This window comes from Homo sapiens, chromosome 18 (assembly GCF_000001405.40).
Source record: "Homo sapiens chromosome 18, GRCh38.p14 Primary Assembly".
Taxonomy (NCBI): Eukaryota; Metazoa; Chordata; class Mammalia; order Primates; family Hominidae; genus Homo; species Homo sapiens.
In genome coordinates, this window is record NC_000018.10 from 4,081,832 (window position 1) to 4,108,242 (window position 26,411).

At 38.6% G+C, this 26,411-nt stretch overlaps 1 protein-coding gene across 11 annotated transcripts in view; it reads right to left on the reverse strand.

The window, feature by feature from the left end:
* The window catches only part of DLGAP1 (DLG associated protein 1), a 959,276-nt gene that overhangs the window by 585,800 nt on the left and 347,065 nt on the right, over window positions 1-26,411 (reverse strand). For 2 of the 11 annotated variants that reach the window (XM_047437933.1, XM_024451288.2), the window contains exon 3: window positions 24,750-25,215. The exons of the other annotated variants lie outside the window; for them this stretch is intronic. The gene's annotated coding sequence lies outside the window, so the exon portion shown is untranslated. The remainder of the gene's footprint in view (window positions 1-24,749; window positions 25,216-26,411) is intronic. 11 annotated transcript variants of the gene reach the window in all.

The following is a 26,411-nucleotide window of genomic DNA, read 5'->3' on the forward strand; positions in this document are numbered from 1 at the left end:
AAGTCCAGTCATTTTTCCCTAAAAATCATTTACTATGCTCCTAAAATCATTCACACTTTCCCATTTCCCTTTTCCTTAAGAAGAAGGGTATAGAGGCCTGGCTCAGTGGCTCACACCTGTAATCCCAGCACTATGGGAGGCTGAGGTGGGCGGATCACCTGAGGTCAGATGTTTGAGACCAGCCTGGCCAACATGGTGAAATACTGTCTCTATTAAAAATACAAAAAGGCTGGGTGCAGTGGCTCACACCTGTACTCCTAGCACCTTGGGAGGCTAAGGCGAGTGGATTGCCTGAGCTCAGGAGTTCAAGACCAGCCTGGGCAAAATGGTGAAATCCTGCCTCTACTAAAATACAAAAAAATTAGCTGGGCGTGGCAGTGTATGCCTGTAATCCCAGTTACTTGGGAGGCTGAGGCAGGAGAATTCCTTGAACCTGGGAGGGGGAGGTTGCAGTGAGCCGAGATTGCACCATTGCACTCCAGCCTGGGCGACAGAACAAGACTCCATCTCAAAAAAAAAAAAAAAAAAAATTTGCCAGACATGGTGGCGCACACCTGTAATCCCAGCTACTCGGGAGGCTGAGGCCCAAGAATCACTTGAACCTGGGAGGCAGAGGTTGCAGTGAGTTGAGATTGTGCCACTGCACTCCAGTCTGGGTGACAGAGTGAGACTTTGTCTCAAAAAAAAAAAAAAAAAAAAAAAAGAAGGGTGTATAACCATCAGTACCCCATTCCATGGTGGGGGTAATCATTCAGCGATCCACCCACCATGCATGCTAGTAAATTTGCATATCTTTTCTCCTATTAACCTGCCTTTTTGAGCTGATTTTTCAGTAACCCTTAGGATGAAGGGGAAGTTTTCCTTTGGCCCCTACACTCCATTTTTGCAGATAGGGAAACTGAGGGACTGACAGGTTAAGTAAGTTGTGAAATTCAGGCAACTGGTGTCAGAACAAGAAAGATTCCAGTTGAGGTCTGTCTGGCTTCTTTGCTAAGGCTGGCTTCATTGACGTGCCGCTGCTCAGTCACATGGGGCCCCATGTGTTTGCTGTAATGCACATGGACCCCAAGCTTGGTTTAATGCTCTGCTGTAGCTACCCTGAAATCCTTAACAATTTTTGAGTAAGGGTCCCCGCCTTTTCATTTTGCACGGGGCCTTGCTAGTTATGTAGCTCCCTTCACTGCCATGGCCGTTTCAGGCTATGATCCCCCAAAGGTTTCAAACTCAAAAGTCAGAAATTCTGATCATTTCTGCTAATGAAGAGATAAATATACATGTGATTCCTACTATTGGTAGGGGGTAGAGTAGAAAGTTGTTCAAAGAAGGAACACCCCAATTATTCCACATAAGTGTTTGTAAGGATTAATGCACTAACAGGGATTTGATCTTATAAATTCTGCTGTTTTGGTTTTTGACCAAATGACTTTAATTTTGTTTTGTTTTGTAATATTTTGTTTTAATTTCTGCTGGTTACATTAGGGACAAAGCACTTCTACTTCATTCTCATCTTCCTCTTTCTATAAAAACAGTGTGTCTTTTTCTTTATTATAAAAGTAATGAATGTTTCCTGCAGAAAATATGAAAAAAATTACATGTAATTAACCAAGTAGAGAAAACATTTTGGTACATATCATTTTAAAGTACATTTATATATGCGTCAGTATATATTTTTATTTCTACTGATATCTATCAACTCTCTAATTGGAATCATAGTGAAGCCATTCTTACATGGTTACCAAGAATTTGGACAGAAATATAATGAAGCATTAATCATGCTGTACTTTGATCCATTTCCTTGTTGCTGAAAGTTACTTCGTGAAACTAGAAAAGTTCCCTTTTCCTCCGTGCAGGGCATGTGATGGGGTGTGGCTTGCTTCTTTCGTGCCCTAGAGTTAAAATTCCTAGGGGGAGCATGCAGATGAGCAGGTCATGGGGAGCGTGGGCTCTGACCCCATGGTAGCATCTAGGGTTGAGTGTTGACAGCTCCCGAGGCCCCAGTAGGCAAGTGTTACAGGGTGCTCTTTCAGCTTGGCCGTCAGCAGGTGGCTTATGTTAATTAGCTCAATGAGACCCTCTGCCTTATCTCTAGGACAGAGGGCTTTCTGTTTCCCGGGGTTCTTGCCTTAGTGTACTGGAAAAATCGGATCACACGGGGGCTTGGAGAATGAGTGCAAGGTTTTATTGAGTGGTGGAAGTAGCTCCAGAAGATGGATGGGAGCCAGAAGCGGGATGGAGTGGGAACAATCTCCCAAAACCCTTAAAAATCCTAGCCCCCAAACTCCTCAAAAAGATGGACTTGAGGTTTCCTCCCATCTCCTGTTTGAGCAGCCCTGTGATTAAACTTCCTTCTCTGCTGCAACCTGGTGTCTTAGCATAATGACTTGCAGCACGCAGTGGTTATAGTAGCATTCACGATTTGAATTTGAATCCTGTAGGTTTTTCTCTTTTAATTTAACTATACTAAGGATTTTCCTTATAGGAAAAATGATTGTTTACCATAACTCATTTAACAATCTTTCCATTGTTAAAAATTTAGATTTGTTTTCGACAGGGCTCAGAACAAGGGCCAGATAATAGCCTCTTGGCATACTTAATATTTTAAGCTGAAAGAATTTGAGAAAAGCACAGAAGCAGGAAAGTCTCTCTGACCTTCTCCTACCCCTTTCTCTTTCTCTCCTATGACCCTCGTGTGAAAGGTGTCCACCCTATACCCACAGGACAGGAGCATCGTTATCTCTAAGACTCAGGGACACAGAAGAATCTGCACAAACAGGCCTTGCTCAGTTCCCTCCAGTTTATTGCCATGAGATCATTCTCCCTTTGTCTAATCTTACTTCTCCACGATTATCTACTTATTTACCAAACTTAGCATAAAAATACATGGGGTTACTTATTTCTTTGGGCTTTCATTTCCTGATAAAGACTCCCATGTCATGCAACACTTATTAAATATATTAGCATGCTTTTCTCCTATCAATCTGTCTTTGTCAGTTTGATTTTTAGACCCAGCCAAGGGACCCTAGGAAGAGTGAAGGAAAGCCTTTCCTCCCCTACATTTTATTCTGTTTAAGTTTTGTTGTTTATGATTGACTCTAAATCAAAGAGAGCATGCTGCAAGGAGCAGGCATCGTCCAGGATGGTTAATGGGGAAGACATCACACACTCAAAACTGCAGACTGCAAGTCTATGAACCAGGGAGGTTTTCTGTACTTCTGTGGCATGAAAATAGAATGGATTATTCTATATTATTTTATATATACCAAAAGAAAATGACCGAGGCAGGACAGGCAGTCTTGGTGCAACTGAATGGTAGAATTAAGTGGGTAAATAAAAAAGGTAAGGGGAAATACTATTTGCAGAATCTAATTGTCAGCCTTTTTAAAAAATCAGGAAGCTAATTATTTACTGCACAGACAAGTCACCAAGGCAGAAAAAAAATGTGGGTGGTCTTGGGGTTTGATTATTTCTACCAAGCAGTGATTATATGCATTAGCATCTGATTCACTTACATGCTAATATCTTCACTGAGGAATCTGCTTCCTTTTCAGCAAAACCTGCTTAAGTTTTCAGCAAAACCTGCTTAAGTCAGAAGTTTGTTACCTAGGAAGCCTTTATTCCCTTCTTACCACAGGAGAAACTTTCTTTACATTTTGGGCAAGACTAAGTTTAGATCTAGTCTACATCCAGAGTTGTCACACAGTATTTTTAGAAATAGACTGGACTGACCCAGGGAAAGGAAATACTTTGAGAGCAAAACCTTCTAACTGCCAATATCTGTTTTACAAACTTTACAAGTCTGTGTTCCTTTGATGCAGCTTCCAAATCACAGGACTTCTTGTTGACAACTCACCCTGCTTGAGTTCCGTCTTTGTCCCAGAAGGAAACAAAATGTATTTTTCCCCTTTAAACACAGAGGAATTTCTTTAGATAACCTCAGAACACAATTATCCGGTCCAGTCAAACAATCTGAAGTTATAGTTCTGCTGCTGTCTCTGACCTAACTCCCTCTTCTTCCAATGTTTCACAGCTCTTTCTATTTTCATTTCCTTTTGATTTTTCAATTATCTCTATTTTGCTTACTGTGGGAACTTCTTTTGAAAGTGATTATTGACTTTGCTCTCAACTTGGTTTGACTTAATAAATTGGTAACATAAATAAGACCTAAACTGGGCAGAAACAGAAAAAGAGGTTGTTCGTGTCAAATAACTACCTTTCATGTATTTGAAAGGTGAAGATTATAGAATGTCCAACTCTGCTTCTTTCTGGTGTGGGGACAATCTGAGCTGTGATAAAGTTTTGACATGGGAACAGAGCAGGATAAGCATGTGGTAGGACGGGAGTGGGGTGATGAAGGACTTTGGGAAGCTGCTGGATCAAATTTGAGAAAAAGAAGGTTCAAAAGGCATCCCAAAAGAGCACTAAAGCTGGTTTAGATTTAGTCATTCAATTGCTCCCCTCGTCTTCATTACCTCTGTGTAAAGACCTAATAACAAAGTATGAAAAAAACTGTGCTCTAAACCGGAAGGTGCTAAATAAAAACGGCATTATTACTAATTACTTTAGCTAACTAAGTTGACTGAAAACTTATTCAATTCACATCAGCATATAATGCTATAAATTTTCCTACAAGCACTGCTTTAGCTGTGTCTCCCACAAGTTTCGATATGTTGTGTTCTCATTTTAATTCCACTGAAAATGATTTTTAAATTCCCATTGTGACTTTTTAATGGGTTACTCAGCACTGTGTTATTTAATTTTAAGATATTAGGAAATTTTTCTGTTTTTGTTTTTTTAATCCGATTTAATTCCATCGTGGTCTGAGACTATACCTTGTATGTTTCTAATTCTTTTAAATTTGTTGAAGTTTGTTTTATAGCCTACAATATGATCTCTCTTGGTGAATGCTCCATATGCACTTAAAAAGAATGTATATTCTTTTTAAGTCAGGTCAAGTTTGTTGATTGTGTTGTTAAGTTCTATATCCTTATTGATTTTCTTTCTACTAGTTCTATTACTTACTGAGAGAGAAGTGTTAAAATTTCCATTATAATTGTGGATTTGTTTATATCTCCTTTTAGTTCTATTAGTTTTTGCTTTATGTGTTTTGAAGATGTGTTGTTAGGTGCATACACATCATTATTTAATACTCTTCTGCATCTTCATTAATATTTTAGTTCTGAAGTCTACCTTGTCTGAGATATATATATATACACAAACACATATATATATACACACACTTATATATACATATATGTATATATGTATATATGTGCTATATATATATACACACACACATTCTGAGACATATATATATCTCAGAAGAAGGTTGTTTCTGCCAAATTCATTTATTTGAAAGGTGGAGATTATCGAATGCTCCAGTGGTTATATATATGTTGGGAACAGGCCCCCAAATCTGTCCATAAACTGGCCCCAAAACTGGCCATAAACAAAATCTCTGCAGCACTGTGACATGCTTATGATGGCCTTGATGCCCACAACAGGTTTACCAGAATGAGGGCAAGGAACACCTGGCCCACCCAGGGCGGAAAACTGCTTAAGGTGTTCTTAAACCACAAACAATAGCATGAGCGATCTGTGCCTTAAGGACATGCTCCTACTGCAGATAACTAGCCAGACCCATCCCTTTATTTCAGCCCATCCCTTTATTTCCTGTAAGGAATACTTTTAGTAAATCTTATGACTGGCTTGCTGTCAATAAATATGTGGGTAAATCTCTGTTCAAGGCTCTCAGCTCTGAAGGCTGTGAGACCCCTGATTTCCCACTCCACAACTCTATATTTCTGCATGTGTGTCTTTAATTCCTCTAGTGCCACTGGGTTAGGGTCTCCATGACAGAGCTGGTCTTGGCATATATATTTCTTTTAATTAACATTTACATGGTGTATTTTTTTACATTTATATGCTATATATATTTAAATGACATATATACATATTTTCATCCTTTTACTCTTAACCTAGTTCTTTATTTTAAAATGGGTTTCATGTGAACTGTGTAGTTGGGCTTTGCTTTGTTTGAGTTGACATGATCTGTCTTGATTTGTTATGTTGAGACCATTGACATCTGTGTCACTGCTATGTTTAGACTAAAATCTAACATCTGGCTAGCTGTCTTCTATTTGTTCTGTTTGTTAATCTTTCCCCTTTCCCTCTTTTTCTGTTTTTTTAATTAAATAATTTTTATCATTCTATTTTTCCTCAACTATTGATCTCTTGTTTATGTTTCTTAAACATTTATTTTTTTCCTATAGAAAACATTTCCTATTTTAATTTTAAATTAAATTAAATTTTAAATATGGATTTTTTCCTATTGCATTTATGATATACTTTCATCATTATTTGTAGTTTATCCTTGAATAATTTTATTCTGCTTTATATATAAGGTAGGAGTCTCACACCAATATACTTCCAGTGTTTCTCTCTGATCTTTTGTGCTGCTGTTGTCAAAAATTTTACCTTTACATATGCTATAAACCAGCAACACAATGCTACTACTTTTCCTTTAGACAGTCAACTATCTCATAGCATGACTAAACATTAAGAAAGGAGTCTTTTTATTTACCCTCACATAATTTTCCTTTGTGTGTGTGTGTGTGTGTGTGTGTCTGTATACATTTACAAACATACATATCTTCAACTTTCCCATTTCTTTTTGAGGATCCAAGTTTCTGTTATAGATTGTTTCTGCCTAATGAGTGCCTTTAACCATTCTTGTAGCACTGTCTGCTGGCAGTAAATTCTCTTACCTTTCATTTGTTTGAAAAAGTTATTATTTGCTGTGGTTTTGGGAGGTTTTTAACCTGAATTCTGAGTTGATTTTTTTCCTCCAGCCGTCTGAAGATGTCAAACCATATGATTATCTCAATAGACACGGAAAAGGCCTTTAATAAAATTCAACATTCCTTCATGTTAAAAAAACTCTCAATAAACTAGGTATGGAAGGGACATATCTCAAAATAACAAGAGCCATTTATGACAAACCCACAGCCAATATCATACTGAATGGGCAAAAGCTGGAAGCATTCCCCTTGAAAACTGGCACAAGACAAGGATGCCCTCTCTCACCACTCCTATTCAACATAGTGTTGGAAGTTTTGGCCAGCGCAAGCAGGCAAGAGAAAGCAATAAAGCGTATTTAAATAGGAAGAGAAGAAGTCAAACTGCCTCTGTTTGCAGATAACATGATCCTATATCTAGAAAACCCCATCATCTCAGCCCTAAAGCTCCTTAAGCTGATAAGCAACTTCAGCAAAGTCTCAGGATACAAAATCAATGTGCAAAAATCTCAAGCATTCCTATACACCAACAATAGACAAACAGAGAGCCAAATCATGAATGAACTCACATTCGCAAATGCTACAAAGAGAATAAAATACCTAGGAATACAACTTACAAGGGATGTGAAGGATCTCTTCGAGGACAACTACAAATCACTCCTCAAGGAAATAAAAGAGGACAGAAACAAATGGAAAAACATTCCATGCTCATGGATAGGAAGAATAAATATTGTGAAAATGGCCATACTGCCCAAAGTAATTTACAGATTCAATGCTATTCCCTTAAACTACCATTGACATTCTTCGTAGAATTACAAAAAACTACTTTAAAATTCATATGGAACCAAAAAAGGGCCCATATAGCCAAGACAATCCTAAGCAAAAAAAACAAAGCTGAAGCCATCCCACCATCTGATTTCAAACTCTGCTACAAGGCTACAGTAACCAAACAGCATGGTACTGGTATCAAAACTGACACATAGACCAATGGAACAGAAATAATACCACACATTTACAAACGTCTGATCTTCAACAAACCTGACAAAAACAAGCAATGGAGAAAGGATTCTTTATTTAATAAATGGTGCTGGGAAAACTGGCTAGCCATATGTAGAAAATTGAAACCGGACCTCTTCCTGGCCGGGCACGGTGGCTCACGCCTGTAGTCCCAGCACTTTGGGAGGCCGAGGCGGGCGGATCACGAGGTCAGGAGATCGAGACCATCCTGGCTAACACGGTGAAACCCCGTCTCTACTAAAAACACAAAAAATTAGCCAGGTGCGGTGGCGGGCTCCTGTGGTCTCAGCTACTCAGGAGACTGAGGCAGGAGAATGGCGTGAACCCGGGAGGCGGAGTTTGCAGTGAGCCAAGATCGCGCCGCTGCACTCCAGCCTGGGTGATAGAGGGGGACTCCGTCTAAAAAAAAAGAAAGAAACTGGACCCCTTCCTTACATCTTAAACAAAAATTAACTCAAGATAGATTAAAGACTTAAATGTAAATCCCAAACTATAAAAACCTTGGAAGAAAATGTAGGCAATACTATTCAGGACATAGGCACGGGCAAGTATTTCATGACAAAAACATCAAAAGCAATTGCAACAAAAGCAAAAATTGACAAATGGGACCTAATTAAACTAAAGAGCTTTGGCACAACAAAAGAAACTATCATCAGAGTGAACAGACAACCTATGGAATGGGAGAAAATTTTTGCAATCTATTCATCTGACAAAGGTCTAATATCCAGAATCTACAAGGAACTTAAACACATTTACAAGAAAAAAACCACCCCATCAAAAAGCGGGCAAAGGACATGTACAGACACTTCTTCAAAGAAGACATTTACGTAGCTAACAAACATATGAAAAGAAGCTCAACATCCCTGTTCATTAGAGAAATGCAAATTAAAACCGCAATGAGATACCATCTCATGCCAGTTAGAATGGCAATTATTAAAAAGTCAAGAAACAATAGACGCTGGCAAAGCTGTGAAGAAATAGGAACGCTTTTACACCACTGGTGGGAATGTAAATTACTTTAATCACTGTGGAAAAGTGTGGCGATTTCTCAAAGATCTAGAACCAGAAATACCATCTGACCCAGCAATCCCATCACTGGGTATATACCCAAAGGAATATGAATCATTCTATCATAAAGACACATGCACATGTATGTTCATGGCAGCGCTATTCACAATAGCAAAGACATGGAATCAATCCAAATGTCCATCAACGATAGACCGGATAAAGAAAATGTGGTACATATACACCATGGAATACTATGCAGCCATAAAAAAGAATGAGACCACATCCTTTGCAGGGACATGGATGGAGCTGGGAGTCCTTATCCTCAGCAAACTAACACAAGAACAGAAAAGCAAACACTGCGTGTTCTCATTCAAAAGTGGGAGCTGAACAATGAGAACACATGGACACAGGGAGGGGAACAACATATACTGGGGCCTATTGTTGGGGTGGGGGTAGGGAGAGCATCAGGACAAATAGCTAATGCATGCAGGGCTTAATACCTAGGTGATGGGTTGATAGGTTCAATAACCTACAGTGGCTCATGTTTGCCTATGTAACAAACCTGCATGTTCTGCACATGTATCCCAGAAATAAAATGAAATGAAATAAAATAAAATAAAATTCTCATCTTTATTCTTCTGAATCTAAGATGTCTGATCTTTGGACTTCAGCTATTTGAATATGGTGTGTAGGTGTGTGGATTTCTTTTTCTATTTATATTCTTTGAGGTTTTATGAGTGTATTGGATTCTTGCTTTGATTCTTTCATTATATTTGGAAAATTCTCAACAATTCCATCTTAAAATACTTCTACCTTATTTTCTCTTTATATTCTGTCTCACATTTCAATTATACATATATTCAATCATTTGATATTGTTTAACAGCTCTTCAATACTCTGTTCTGTCTTCATCTCCTTTTTTACTCTTTTCTTTCAGGTGGGTAATATCTATTGACCTATTAAGTTCATTGATTCTTTCCACGACTGTGCTGACTCTACTGATAAGCCCATCAAGGACACTGTTCATGTTTGTTGCTGTTTCTTTTTCATAGCATTTCCAATTGATTTTTTGTTACAGTCAACATCTCTCTGTGAAATTCCGTATCTGTTCAGGACTGTTACTCAGCTTTTCCAATGGATCCTTTAACATATTAAACATGGTCATTTTAACTTCTCTGCTTGATAGTTCCAATATCTAGGTCATATTTGAGTCTAGTTGATAATTTTGCCTCTTGATCATGTTTTTTTTTTTCCACATGCTTTTTTGTACATCTCATAATTTTTTAATGAATCACAAATATCAAGGATAGGACAGTATGGGCTAAGATAAATAGTATCTATGTCTGGAAACGGCACACTTCTTTTAGTAGGCCTACAGTGCTGGAGTTGGTCAATCTAGTTAGAAGTTGAGCTGGGTTTGGGTTTTGTTATTGCTATGGTTAACCTCAGTATATTACTAGCTTCAAATTCCTCTAGTGCTACCTTGTGTGTAGGTGGGGGCTATGGTATCAAAGGGCGTGTCTCAATGTCCCTGCTCCACCCTCAGCTTTCTGCTTTCTTTGAGTGTCTGCAACACACAGGGAGCTCTTCCTTGCTCTCCCCACTCAGAAGTAGAGTGCCATTGCTTGTTACCTGGTGCTTATAAGGCCGACGGGAGTGGAGCAGCGAAGAGGTTTTCCATTGTCCTGGCCCCCCAATAGTCTTAGGGAGGCCCTGTGTGTCTGGATCTTAGGAGTGGGGCTTGCTCTGTGATCCTGCCCCTCCTCCCAGTGTCAACCAAATTCTGCCTTGCATCTGGTAGATCTCCCATGAGAGATGGTTTCTCGTCCATCCCCTTGTGGTAGGAGACATCTAATGGTATTGGTGTAGGATCTCGGACTTAGGACTCTTTTGTACCCCTCACCCAGGTATGGAGATTGTTTTTTTTCCTTGTATTCTTTCCTTAACCAAAATGGGTCATACTTGTGCCTAGGGGCAGCACGATTTGCTGCTCCTTCTCTATCGGCTTAAGGCTTTTGTTCCATAACAGGGGCAGGCCAGATGGTGCTTAATATTTTTCCTGAAGTGGCCCATCCTCCAGGCTCACACCACCTAGAGAGGCTCTGTCCTGTCTCCAGCTCTGTCCTTGATCCTTCTCGTGGGCACCCAGTAAAGGTCTGTGGAAAAGAGCCTGTGACTGGGTAGGAGTTCCCTTTGTGCCTGCAGCTTCTGGGGTTCTGCACCCACACACTAGCCTACACTTGGCCTTTAGCAATTTGTTAAAAGGTTTAGCTGATTTCTTCTTTTAACTGTATGGAGCCTGATGCCTCTTCCTCCAGTGCTCACAACCCACATCGTCCTGGAGGAGCTTGTCTTTCTTAGGATTTCAGGCTACTTGTTTACGTGTGACCTCAGCTCTTTGATGGGTTTAAGAACATTTATGACATGGTAGTTTATCTTGCTTTTCCTTAGCCTTGGTGGAAGTGGCAATTTGTTCAATTATATGTATTGTATGTGTATGTATGTATGTATGTGCATGCAATGTGGTTGATGTTTCCTTTCAAAAACACAGCTTAGAAAAGTGAAGGCTACATTACAACTATTGAATAAGAATATTTTAAGGAAGAAAACAGGGATAATTAAAAAAAGGAAAAACCCAATGTGACTCTATCTAGGCTTTGAGCTTTTTCCCAGTAACGGGAAGAAGGAAATAGGAATTTCTTAATGTTCTTTATCTGAACTAGGTTCTGTGGGGAACCAGAGGGACCAAATGCTGATTTAACATTGGAAACCAGATGAGAATATGGGAAGCCTACTAGTCTCTTAAAAATATTTAAGAAGTGGATTTTGCGTTTTGTCTGAAAGGAAGAATTCCTCATTTGGACAAGAAGGTTATTTCATAAGTGCATATGAAAACAAAAGTTAAATCCAATCTCTGAACCTAAACATTAATCAAAAAAAAAAAGGTCTTTGATATACTTCTCCAACTTTGTACAATAAGGAGGTATAAGTTGGAAAACTCTATAGTAGCAGAGTTTGTTTTGTTTTTGTGTGTCTGTTACTCACTGAATAGTTAGGGGCATGGTAGCTGTTCTCTTCCTCTACAAGCAATCACCTTGTCTGCTTTTTATTATAAAATTTGATGGCTTTTTTCCTGTTTTTATCTCTCTTGGTCTCATTGCACCCCTGCTTCCTGTGGCTTCTGTGAAGCTATACTCTTCTGGTTCTAATTCTGATGAGCCTCTCTTCTCTCCCTCACGCTTTTGACATGCTAATGTTCCCAGACTTTTCAACCTCATATCCTGACCTCTTGCTTTTAAACTTCAATTTAATTTAAGACGCTCCACTTATTTAAATTTTTTAAGAGCACAAAGTGAACTTTTATAATTTTCTTCATGTGGTTCTGACATCATTGTTGTTAGGATTCTTCCTTAGTATTTTATGATTTTTACATCCTTTATGAATCAACCCAGCCTCCAATTATGTCATCTACTGTAATGACTGGAATTAAAAAAAATACTGATATGTATTATGTGGGACTTCTAAAATTGACATTAATTCAAAGAGATTTTTCTTAATTTTTCTTTGTTCCTTAGTTTTATCTCTTAGCTGTTTACATATTAATCTTATCTCTTTCCTTTTATTGTCATGGTCAGAACTTTTGGAAGCAATAAAAATAGTGAAGATGGTAATTTTTGTCACATTTCTGATTTTATTGAAAATGCCTTTATGGTACACGGTTATGTATAACATTGATTGTTAATTTAAAATTAATTTTCTGTATCTTTATCTTGCATTTCAGTTGTTATCTCTATATAGTCTGTGTTCTAATGAACTTTTCTTGTTTGTGTCCTATATCATGTATATTGTTTTCTGTAGAATTGATTCTTTTCTTATTGCCTTAAATAAATTCAGTTTTTATATTTATATTTTGATTTTTATATATTTTATCTTCCTTCCTTCCTTCCTTTCTCTTTCTTTTTTTTTTTTTTTTGTCTTGTTTTGTCACCCAGGCTAGAGTGCAGTGGTGTGATCTCAGCTCACTGCAACCTCTGCCTCCTGGGTTCAAGGGATTCTCCTGCCTCAACCTCCCAAGTAGCTGGGACTACAGGCATGCGCCACCATGCCTGGCTAGTTTTTGCATTTTTAGTAGAGATGCGGTTTCATCATGTTGGCCAGGCTGGTCTTGAACTCCTGACCTCAGGTGATCCACCCACCTTGGCCTCCCAAAGTGCTGGGATTACAGGCATGAGCCACTGCACCTGGTTGCCTATTTTTTCTTGATATCTGCAATTTTGTTTAGACTTACCTTTCCTATCTTTTTAGTAGGATTACATTTTAAATAATAAAACAAGGGTGCACTCCTCCATGCCCTTCTTCCCGTTCATTCAGTCAGCAGTATCACCTTCAACCTAATATAAAAAGCAAGATTCAGAATCTTGCTTGGATGACCAAGTAAAGAGGACCTGAGATATCTTCCTGAGAGCATTTGAAATTTCCTTTTGCCTCAAGAGGGGACCAGCTCTAAAACTCAGAAAAGACAAAAGTCTTAAAACCAAGACAAGATATGGCAAGAGTGGGACTTTTGAAAGAGATTTTTTTTCCGGTTTCATAAATTTGTGCCATTAACAAAGTTTTGGAAAGAGAATAAACAGAGACACTGGCCACCTTCCCCAATCAGGTACACATTTTTTCACTTGGCTGAGAGGGAGATTTATAGAGGGGAAAAGCTTAGGCTTGGATGCTTTTAGACATAGATGTATCCCCATGAGACGTCTGGGTGAACAAAAGAACCCCTAAAGAGTTCTAGTGATCTGGAAACAGGACAAATTGTACTTCCTTTTCCAGGGGTGCTTTCTAACCTTGTAGAGAATTCTTTTCTTGCTAACAGGTTATATAAAGAATATAGGAGACAAGATAGTAAGAGATGATCAAGTAAAGAAGACCTAAGACATCTTCCCGAGAACATAAGAAATTTCTTGTGCCCCAAGTCAGGGCCAGAAAGACAGATAGGGCTGGTGGCCCTGGAGGGGCTGCATCATGATGGTGACAGGGTGTGTCTGTGGAATTTGACATCAACCTTCAACTGGAAACGACATAATATAACACACTAGATGCCAATTGGGATACACATTGATGAATAAAGACAAGAAGGAAAGGGAAACAACTTCAGATTTGACTTCTCTCCAATGCCATGAAGCTACATCAGATTTCTCCACCCCGAGAACATAAGTGCCTCCTTAGAAAGAAGGAGGGGTAGGCGGAATCTTCGAAGTGATTTAATTTAAACCTGAATCGATCAGCAGAAACAAATTCTAAAGAGCCTGTGTTTACCTGAAACTGCCTGAGATGATGATGATTATTTTTTACCTTTAGGCAGAATGTGGAATCTATGTTTTTGGGGATTTGTTTTTGAGACAAAGTCTCGCTTTGTCGGCCAGGCTGGAATGCAGTGTGGTGATCTCAGCTCACTGCAGTCTCCGCCTTCTGGGTTCAAGTGATTCTCCTGCTTCAGCCTCCCAAGTAGCTGGGATTGCAGGTGTGTGCCACTACGCTTGGCTATTTTTTGTATTTTTTAAGATATGGGGTTTCACCATATTGGCCAGGCAGGTCTCGAACTCCTGGCTTCAAGTGATCCTCCCACCTCGGCCTCCCAAAGTGCTGGGATTACAGGCGTGAGCCACTGCGCCTGGCCAGAATGTGGAATCTAGAAAAGAATCAAAGCAGGTTATAGAAAAGTAAAGAAGCTATTTCTCTCACATAGGCTTTGTCATGGCCTGTGAAAATGTAAACCCACCATATTTTATCAGAAAAACCTGTATATATTTCTCATCTGCTATATGTCCTTTTCACAGATATGCTTTTTCCTTTGCTTAAGGTACTTTTTGCCATTCTTTTTTTTTTTTCCCCTGGAATCTTTTCATAGGTTTCATTTATCTCATCCCTGAATGAAGAGTGAGTCAACTGACCTATATTTCCTTTGGACCCTCCCAGTTCTTTAGGATGCTGCCAGATTTGTCCTCTTAGATCTCAAGGGAGAATGGAGCCGAATAGGTTCAGAGTCCTCAGACAACCTTCTCGTGACGTGACTCACAGCTATGTTTAAAATCTGTGTCTGCTGGACTGAAGCAGAAGCTTTTTTATAGGCTGCCTGGGTTAACGTCCTGGCTTGTCCATTTACTAGCTGTGAAGGCTGAGCAAGTTACTTAACCCTCCTGTATTTCAGTTTACCTAACTATAAAACTGAGCTAACAATGGTACCTGGCAAAGTTGTAAAGATTACATGAATTAAGTTAATGAAAGTACTTAGATTAGTGTCTGGCACAAAGTAAACATTGTGTAAGTGTTGGTCGGTATATTTTTGTCATCATTATTCTTACAGGGGTCTCCTCTCTCTTTCAAATCCAGCTTATCTTCTGTTTTGTTTCCAGATTAATCTTTCTGCAGCACAGACCCACATATATTATTCAATTGAACAAACACTTTCAAAGGCTCCAATTGTTTACCACATTAAGGACCACCTTCTTGCCTTGGGATTCAAATAATTCTGGTACAGGGATCAGGACTTCGTCCCAACCTCTCACTAGTCTACTGCATTATGCTCAGTCCGTGGTGGGGATCTGATTGTTTCCTTGAACTTGCTCTGTTCTTTTCTGCCTCAGAGCTGTCCTTACTGCCCCTGGCACTTTCCATCTTCCCCATTTACATCTGTCTCAGCAGATTTAAATTCTACCTTCTCCAGGATGCCAATCATAATTTCCCCATCAAATGTAATCTCTTGGTCTTTGCAAGCCCCACTGTACTTTGTCAAAAGTGCTCACCACGTGGTACTGAGAACTATAGCTTCCTGCAATGTGGATGTAGTCATCCTCCATTTTTCCTTCCCTTCTGCCTCCAGACACCTCACAGGTAGGAGTTTAGGCTGATTTATCCGTGTATTCCCTAAAATTCCAGCCACATGCTTTTCATGCAATGGCAGTGCAACAGATAGTTATATTCTGAACGGAACCAATACAGATAAATCCCAGTTAAGAACTCTAGCACACAAAACAATTTTCTTGGTTCTACTTTTGCTGCATCATACAGCAGAGCTTCTTAACTTGCTAAAAACAAAAGTTTTAAATGTTTCGACAAAAATATTCAGATAGATATACTTTCCCACAGGATGTCAGAAACCATTGAATGTCAACAAATATAGTGGGATATTTTTCTACGAAGGAGGAAGTTGATACTAATCATTCAGCATAATTTTAATCTCTCATATAATTGATGGCTGCAGATTCTTTTCCTTTTTCTTTTTTTGAGACAGGATCTCACTCTGTCACTCAAGCTGGAGTGAAGTGGCACAATCTTGGCCTACTGCAGCCTTGATCTCTGGGACTCAATCGATCCTCCCACCTCAGCCTTCTGAGTAGCTGGGGCTACAGGCCCACGCCACTATGCCTGGCTAATCTCTTTTGTATTTGTAGAGACGGGATTTTGCCATGTTGCCTAGGCTGGTCTCCACCTCTTGGGCTCAAGTGATCCTCCTGTCTCGGCCTCCCAAACTGCTGGGATTACAGGCAGGAGCTACCGTGCCCAGCTGGTTGCAGATTTCATACCAGCAGTCAAATTAAAGTACATAAAAATACAAGAAGATATTGTCTATTAAAATCTACAGAGAACATGAGTATTTAAGTTACAAAATATGGGGAAAAGGTTAAATGTCTTCACAGAATAAATCAATCAACAAATATTTATTATAAGTCACTGAGTGATATAAAAAAAGTAAAATAAGGCTTTTATACCCCAGGAGATAATGCAGTGGGTAAGATAGGAGAGGAGGCTGTTTCACCAGTCCAGGGCTGCAGTGATTAGGATTGGAGAACAGCTGTGGTGAAGAGTTAGGTAAAAGGAAAGGAGAAGCAAAGCTGACTTAAAGAAAGAACAAATGGGAAATGGAGATTAAATAGGGGCAACGGAGAAAGACTAGTTTAAGATATTGCAACATTTTAAGCTATTGAGAAAACCGCCAATAGAAATATGGAAAAAAGGAGGAAATTATTGGGGATGGCAGTGGAAGAAAGAATAAGGACAAAATAAAATGCAATTTTAAGTGCACTGAGATTGTAGAAAGGTAAAATGTTCAGGTATAAATATCCAGAGGGCAGCAGATATTTGCATGGTACTTTACACTTTAAAAAGCCCTTTTATATTTATTATTTTGTTTGAGATCTTTAGACATATGGGCAAGTCAGATAGTTTAAGTAAGTTGTGTAAAATCCTAAGTCCAGAAGTCTGAACATGAACCTAAGGTTTGGACTCCTAGTACCCTTACAAGCACTGGGTTTGTTATCAGACCAGCTTTGGATTTACTTGCTTAAGTTGTTAGCTCTGTAACTTTACATAAGTTACTTCAATTCCTCTAAGCTGCATTTCCCATCCATACCTTGACCTCCCAGGCTCAACTGATTCTTCCACCTCAAAACTATCTTCTAGTTTTGTTGTAAGAATTAGATGACATAAAGCACTTAAGTAATTGGCATATTCTAAAGTCTTAACAAATTTTACCCATTATATTATTTCTACACCTCAGCTGCTTCCCAGAGAGCCTGGAACTTGAAAATAGATCTGTCTGTCTGTCTGTCTGTCTGTCTGTCTGTCTATCTATCTATCTATCTGTCTATCATCTATCTATCTATCTATCTATCTATCTATCTATCTATCTATCTATCTATCTGTCTGTCTGTCTATCTTTTTACAGGCATACCTTGGAGATAGTGCGGGTTTGGTTCTGGACCACAGCAATAAAGAAAGTCACATGATTTTTTTCAGTTTCCCAATGCGTGTAAGAGTTATGTGTACACTGCACTGTAGTTTATTGAATGTGAAACAGCATATTGTCTTAAAAATAATATGTGAACCTTAATTAAAAATACTTTATTGCTAAAAATGCTAATGATCATCTGAGCCTTCAGGGAGTTGTAATCTTTTTGCGGTGAAGGGTTTTACCTCAATGTTGGTGGCTGCTGATGATCAGGGTGGTGGTTGCTGAAGGTTGGTGTGGTTGTGGCAATTTCTTTTCTTTTTTTACTTTTTTTTTTTTTTTTTTAGAGTTGAGGTCTTGCACTGTCACTCAGCCTGGAGTGCAGTGGTGCAATCATGGCTCACTGCAGCCTTGAATTCCTGGGCTGAAGCTATCCTTCTGCCTCAGCCTCCCTAGTAGCTGGGACTACAGGTGTGTGCTGCCACATGCAAGTAAATTTCTTTCTCTTTTTTGTGTTTAGAGATGAAATCTTGGGTCTGGGTATGTTGTCTATGCTGGTCTTAAACTCCTGGCCTCAAGTGATCCTCCCACCTTGGCCTCCCAAAGTGCTGGGACTACAGGTGTATGCCACCATGCCTGGCTAATTTATTTCACTTTTTGTAAAGATGGAGTCTTGCCATGCTGCCCAGGCTGGTGAATATTCTTAATAGCATCTAGAATAATTAATTATTTCCAGAAGGTTTCTTAATGGACCTTGACAAAATCCATCAGAGGAATCACTATCTATGGCAGCTATAGCCTTACAAAATGTATTTCTTAAATAATAAGACTTGGAAGTCAAAATTAGTCCTTGATCTATTGGGCTACAGCATGGATATTGTGTTAACAGGCATGAAAACAATATTGATCTCCCTGTATAGCTCCATCAGAGCTCTTGGGTGAACAGGGACATTGTCAATGAACAGTAATATTTGAAAAAACATCTTTTTTCTTCTGAGCAGTAGGTCTCAACAGTGGGCTTGAAATATTCAGTAAGCCATGTTGTAATCAGATATGCTTCCATCCAAGCTTGTTGTTCCATTTATTGAGCACAGGAAAAGCAGATTTAGCCTACCTCTTAAAGGCCTTAAGATATTCAGAATAGTAAATGCGCATTGGCTTCAACTTAAAGTCACCAGCTGCATTAGCCCCTAACAAGAGAGTCAGCCTGTCCTTTGAAGCTTTGAAACCAGGCATTGACTTCTCCCCTTTAGCTCTGAAAGGCCTAGATGGCATTTTCTTCCTATACAATGCTGTTTCACCTACATTTCAAATCTGTGGTTTACTGTAGCCACCTTCACTAGTGACTTTAGCTAAATCTTCTGGATAACTTGTTGCAGCTTCTCCATCACCACTTGCTGCTTCACTTTCACTTTTATGTTAGAAAGACAGCTTCTTTCCTTAAACCTGATGAACCAGCCTCTGCTAGCTTCAAACTTTTCTTCTGCATCTTTCTCATCTCTTTCAGCCTTTATAGAATTGAAGAGAGTCAGGGCCTTGCTTTGGTTTAGGCTTTGGCTTAAGGGAATGTTGTGGCTGGTTTGATCTTCTACCCAGACCACTCGAACTTTTTCTATATTATCAGTAACGCCATTGCACTTTCTTAATGCTTGTGCATTTACTGGGGCAGCACTTTTAATTTCCTTCAAGAATTCTTCCTTTGCATTCACAACTTGGCTAACTTTTTGGTGCAAGAGGCCTAGCTTTTGGCCTACCTCAGCTTTTTACGTGGCTTCCTCACTAAGCTTAATCATTTCTAGCTTTTGGTTTAAAGTGAGAGACGTGCAACTCTTCCTTTCACTTGCACGCTTAGAGGCCACTGTGGGATTACTAATTGGTTTAATTTCAGTATTGCTGTGTCTCCGGAAATATGAAGGCATGAGAAGAGGCATGAGAATAGCTGGTGAATGGAGGAGTCCGAACACACACACTTATTGATTAAGTTTGCTGCCTTATATGGGTGCAGTTCATGACATCTCAAAACAATTATAATAGTAGCATCAAAGATCACTGATCAAAGATCACTACAATAGATAACATACTCATGAAAAAGTTGAAAATATAATTGTGAGAATTAGCAAAATGTGATACAGAGACACAAAGTAGGCACATGCTATTAGAAAAATAGCACTGATAGACTCGCATAACGCAGGGTTGCCACAAACCTTCAATTTGCAACAAAACACAATTTCTGCCAAGCATAAAAAAGTGACGTGCAATAAAATGAGGTATACCTGTGTACTGCAGTCTTGCTGCCAACTCTGACTTTATTCTATTTCTCCCTTGCCACTATATGTAACCATTGAAATTAATTTATTTTTTAACCTTCCAGTGTTTCCTAATGCCAATATATGTATATATTTAATAATTATACACACATATATAATATACATGAATATAGATCTGTAACTGCCTATATATGTATAAATCCATATGCATTTGTACATATATAAGCAGTTACAGATCTATATTCATATATATTACATATGTGTGTATAATGCATATATGTATGCATTTATACATATACAAGCAGTTATAGATATATAAAACATTAAAGCAGTCTTTTGTGTATTAAAATTTCAGGTGCATTGGTATATATTAAAGCATTAAAGCAGTCTTCTGTGTATTAAAGGGAGCCATATATATATGCTTTAAAAGGACTGCTTTAACATATACCAATGTATAAGAAATTTTGAAAATAATCTGATGAAGGAGTAAACTTTTTACCCAAAATAGATGTTCAACTTTTCTTTCTTTCCCCAACTGTTCTAAAGGACTCCAGTAGGGGACCTCTGTCATTCTGGTGATTAAGTATCTATTGTGTCACTTTCTGGAAACAGTACTACGCATTTTCTTTTGAGAAACGATTTTTGTCTTGGCATTGGCCTTATGGTTTGTGTAAATGGAATTCATACTCAGGATTCGAGGTGGGTTTATAAACTTTAGTCATTTTATTACAAGAGCCATATTGGGTTTAGGCATATGCTTTAAGCCAACTAGACTGAACTCTGGGAAATTGTTTGAAATGCTGAGACAGAAATGATCTCTTTTGTGCTGGATGTAAAGGAAAAAGCCCTTGAGCACCTATGAGAAGACTCAGCTATAGAATAAAAGCAACATCCTACAAAATGGAGCAGACAAAAGGCAGACACAGGATCACTGGTGATGTTTCAAGGCCCCTGGAGTAAGCCCTACTTACTCCATGAAAATGAAGTCGCTTCCTTCATCTCCCTTCAGATTTTTCATAATCTGAGTTAACAAGTTCTCTTTAATTTTGGAGCTAATATGAATTAGGTTTTCTGTTACTTATAGCTGAAATGATCACACTGACATAGTTTTTTTATTATGTATAAATATCTACACATACTTGAATGTATTTTGGTATTTATTTCTATTCTCATAAGCAGTATGTTTATTCCTGTGCCAACATTAGTGTTTTAATTTCTTTAACTTTATTCTTTGTGTTAGAGAAACTTTATTACTCAGTCCCATGTTTCCTAGTGGGGAATTCCCACTTCTCTCTCCCATACTAACTCTCTCCTTCCCTTGGGAAGAAAAGTGATTTATGTGATTGAGAACATGGAGTTCTTGCCCTGTCTCTCTGGGACCTGCAGGGCCTGCAAGTGTGTACTCCTTTTCTGCTTCTTCTGGGGCTAACAGTATGTTTTGATACTTGGCGGAGAAAGTGTTTCCATATTCTGTAGTTTTTTTCCCTTTCTTCTTCCTCAGATTTCTTGGCTCTTCTTTCATGTTTCCTCTTTTAGATACATTTTTAGGTCAGCATTTTAGAACTGATGGAAACACTTTCTGGCCCTTTGATCAGAACTGTATTAATTTCATATCATAACTGTAGAGGAACTGGTATCTTGTTCAGGAGCTTGGTGTATTTTTCTGTGTACTCAGGGCTTCTATGTATAATATATCACAAAAGTTTAATAGTTGTCTTCAATAGGTTTTATATTTTTCTTTGTATATTTATTTCCAGCTGTTTGATGATATTGGTTACTATGGTAAAGAGCACTAAAAAAATCTAATTGGTAGGGTAGTGTACAAGAAAAACCATTTGTGTTTGCTTATTAATTTTTATTCTGGCCAACTTGATTAAATCTTTTATTAGTCCTACATAGATAATAATATCTTAAATAATAGAAGTTTTCTCCTGTCACCCCACTACACGTTTTGAATTAACTGTAGTGACTAGGAATTATAGTATTGAATAATACCTGAGATAACAGGTAAACATATCTTGTTCCTAACTTTTATTGATAAGCACTTAATGTCTTACCATTGATTATGATGCTTGCTATTCACAGCAAGATAGAAGTTTTGTCTATTGTTTGCTATTTCTTTGAAAATCAAGTAGGTTTTGTATTAAATATTTTTTCAGAATCAAATAATACATTTTTTCTTTCATTTGTTAACATAGATAAAAAAATTGATATGCTAAATTGAACTAGCTACACATAGTTCATATAAATGGCACTTTGTCCACATTTTTAATGCTTTAGAGTCATTCTTATAATTTTAATTCCTAATAGTTTATTTAGGAGTTTTACATCCACATTTACAAGTGAGACTGACTTCCAGTTTTCCTTGTCTGTGTGTATTCTTTAATCTAATTTGGTATCAGAGTTTTGTTAGCCTTTTCTAATTCCAGTCTAATTTCTATTTCTAGTTAAGATAATTGCAGTCTTTTTCTACTACCTGGATGTAGTTTCAGAATATAAAAATTATTTGTTTCTTAAAGATTCAGTAGAAATCACCTAACATTTTCTGAATTTCATGCTTATTTTAGAGATAGATTTTTGACCACCTTATCTTCTTCTGTGATTATTATTGTCTTGAAATATTCTATTATTTTAGCGAATTTTGGTAATGTATATATTTTTGAAAGCTAATAGTTGTGTCTACAATTTTCAGATGTGTACAAAATATTCTCATGCTTTCTTGAATCCCTGAGTATATCAGGGATTATATAACTGTAGCTATATCCCATACATTTATCTGTAATTATGTCCCTTTTCTCACTGCTAACATCACTTATTTGTAGCATTTCTTTTTTCCCCTTTGATCAACCTTGCCAAGGATTTGTCAATTTTCCTGGTTAGTTTAAGAAATCAGGTTTTGATTTATTGCTCCAACTCTAGTATTGTTTATTTTTTCATTTTGATCGTTTCTGGCTTATGCTTTTCTATCTTTGAAAGTCTTCAAATATAATGCTTTTCTGATCACGTTCTTCTTGAGACACGTTCTGTTTTTTGAATGCAGATTACGTATAGTATACATCTCTTCTCTGTCTCTGTCTCTCTCTTTCTCATTCCAGAATACATACTAGAAAATAAGAATATAATAAGAAGGGGTTGGTCCTGGTGACTCAACCAATGTTCTTCTCTTCTCGAGTTCAAATAGTACAGCATAAGGCACAAGTCTTTATAGTTCTGTCAATTATTTAAAAGTCAAAATTCTATTAAGTTTGTCTGATCTTCCTGTATTCCTTCATGTTAACTTTGAGCAAATGCAACCATCAAACAGACAATGGAAATGCCTAGTGCCTGAACCACATTTACTCATTCAGTGTACAAGGATTGAAACACGCACACACACACACATGCACACATGCTGGGGCTAGGCACTGTGCTGGCTGCCAGGACACAGAGATGAGTCAAACAAGGTCCACTGCATAAAAGAAGCCCTGAGAGGAGTGGAGAGAAGCACTCACACGGTGCATAATCCACTGAGACCAGGCTTTAGTGAGATGTGTACCGAGTGTTCTCAAAGCAAGACGAGCAGTCAGGGATGGATGCTCAGGAAGTGGCATGAATTGAGTCCACGGGGCACTGAAGTATGCCAGCCTGTGTTCAAGGCCACGCTTAGTGTGCTTTCCTCTATGCAAGTTAGCAGCAAAGTCCTCCGTGCACACATGCCCAGGAATTTTAAATGCCATTTCTTTGGGGAAAGGAAAACCAATGTAACTTAATAATATCAAAGTGAAATAAAAGTCTTTTATTTCAGAGGTGGAAAGACCATTGTAAATTAAACTGTAAATTTAGTCTAAATCTCACTTCACATTACTTCTGATATTTTTAGCAACACTACTTAAATTCATATTATACTCACTTATCGTTGAGTTTGTGAATAACATGTATTTACTTCAACTTATAAATTTTGATATAACCTTTGAACTTTTGGGTTAACCCAAAGAAACATGTAAATGGCAGAAATGTATTGCTATTTAAAGTAATTTAAATGCGATCTATTTCTACAAATGTTTGTTGCTTTTTTATCTCTGATATCCAAAAATCAGGAGAAAAGGAGGCCTTAAAAGTTGTAATTAGGCCGGGCGCGGTGGCTCACGCCTGTAATCCCAGCACTTTGGGAGGCCGAGGTGGGCGGATCATGAGGTCAGGAGATCGAGACCATCCTGGCTAACACGGTGAAACCCCGTCTCTACTAAAAATACAAAAAAAATTAGCCGGGCGTGGTGGCGGGCACCTGTAGTCCCAGCTACTCGGGAGGCCGAGGCAGGAGAATGGCGTGAACCCGGGAGGCGGAGCTTGCAGTGAACCGAGATCGCGCCACTGCACTCCAGCCTGGGCGACAGAGCGAGGGTCCGTCTCAAAAAAAAAAAAAAAAAAAAAAAAAAAAGTTGCAATTAAACTAAAAACTGCTTAATTTTTAAAAAAGGTTTTTGTTTTGTTTTGTTTTAAGAAGTAGCAGTTGGTAACTGTCTCTAGCTCAGAGACAATACATGGCCAGGAAAAGATTGCTCATCTCAACTCAGAGGATAAGGGCCACAAAACAGCACGTTCAGTGCCAAGAAACCTACGATGTGGCTGTAGCTCACACAGAAGCCCGGGTTCTAGTCCTGAGACCTCCAAGGGAAACTTCTGCCCTTGGAAATTCACCCCTTTTCCAATCATTACGCTAGTATTTCATTGGCAGAAAGGCAGGCTGCACAATCAGCTGTCATGCCCCCAGCCCTGCATGCATCACCTTTCCACATTCCGTGGGTGTAGGACGAGGCTAGGGCGAGGAGTGGGTAGAAGAAATTGTATTTGCCTTTGGTAATTTTAAGTTTGACCACTGCATTGCGTTTAGCTGTTTTAACTGTGCAGGTCAGAAAATGTGCCCAGGTTTGCTAAAATAAATGCATAAATGCAACTCACGAAGTGCCAGTAGTACTTCCTTCAGCCGGCAGAGGGCAGAACAGAGGAACAGAACTTCACAAAGCAAGGCGCTGCCTGTCTTCTCAGACCAAAACACAAACCAGAAGCTGTGTTTTCCTTTGTTTCTTCAGAAAAGTTGTACGTAGAAGAATAGCATTTTTGAAGGAGGACTTTCACCAAAGCTTTTAATATCAGAATAATATATCCACTTTAGTATTTGATGTGTCCAGTGTCAAGACATCCAGATTCACCCAAACTGTGGCAGGGATGAGGCAGGAGAGACCCGAATACAGAGCTGTCCAGTGTGCCAATTTCAGTCAATTCTTAGATCAATCCGGAGTGTATAATTCTCAGAAAGGAAAAGATTTGTGGATTTTGTTATAGTTGTTTCATGCCAATGAACGTTCTCGTCACATTCTGATCGTTTAAAATAAAATGCACTAGATTTACTTTAACACTTTGGTCTCTGAAAGAGAAAGAAAGCCACGCGGCTTAATAAAAGCAACCCAATGCAAGTATTTGTTTTAAAACTGCCTAGCTAAAACACAGCGCCGCTGGATTACAATTGCCTCTTTGCTGAAGCAAAACACACATGGTGCTTAGATTCTACTTCAGCCTGAACTCCTTTTGAAAGGAAAGGGAGAAAGCTGTAGTGGAATGTGATTCACAATTCAGCCTTTCTATAAGGCCTGACACTCCCATGAGGCTTAAATGGAATCACACAGTGAATTTTCCACCGGCGAAATTTACTAGGGAAAGCCGTCTGGAAGCTGTCTTTTAGTAGAAGCACAGGAAGCCCGTGCGATCGATGAAGAATACCGACCCTCCTCTAGCTACGTCTGGCTCCCCTTTCCCTATCCTGCTTCCCAATGTACTTGTTCCCCATGACCCAGAATGGATTACAATGCCTTCTGCCTCACCATTATGAAAAAAGGGATTTCAGGGTTTCTTTCTGGGGGGATGAAATTGAAAGGTTTTAATATTTAGGCTGTAGTGATGGTTGCGTAGCACTGCTAATAAATATACCAAAAACCGTTGAACTACACATTTTAAATTGGTGAACTGAGTGATGTGTAAATTATTTCTTAACAAAGCTGTTAAAAATAAATTGATTTATCTCTCTACGATAGAAATGAATGTAATGTAATGAATAGTAATATTGAAACTCGCTTGCTTTTTAGCTAAAATGAGAGTCAAAGCAACATTATTTGATTGCCAGATTCTATTTCCTTTTAAGTTTTTTATTCTTCCATTTGGTGTTTGTGTGTCTGATTTTCTTTCTAGATTTTTCTTTTAGTGTTTCAGGTCCGAAGAAAAATCTTGGTTTTTGTTTATTTACTCTAAGAATTGAAAAATCTATAGATGGGGTGCAGAAAATGCTACCTCAAAATATAGCCCCTAGGCATACTGAGTAACTTGAGAAAACAGTGGAAGCAGGGACATCTCTGACTTTCTCCTATTCCCTCTCTCCTGAAGCAGATCATAGAAACTGACATTCTTCTGTCCCCTGACTCCCCTGAAGTGGGCCATAGAAGCTAGAATTCCCTTCATACCTTCTTCCCTGAAGTAGGTCATAAAACACAGGAAGACCACTCTCTGACCATCTACCTCTCTCCTCCCATAATAACCCTCATACCCTGAAGAAAGGAATGTCACACAGAG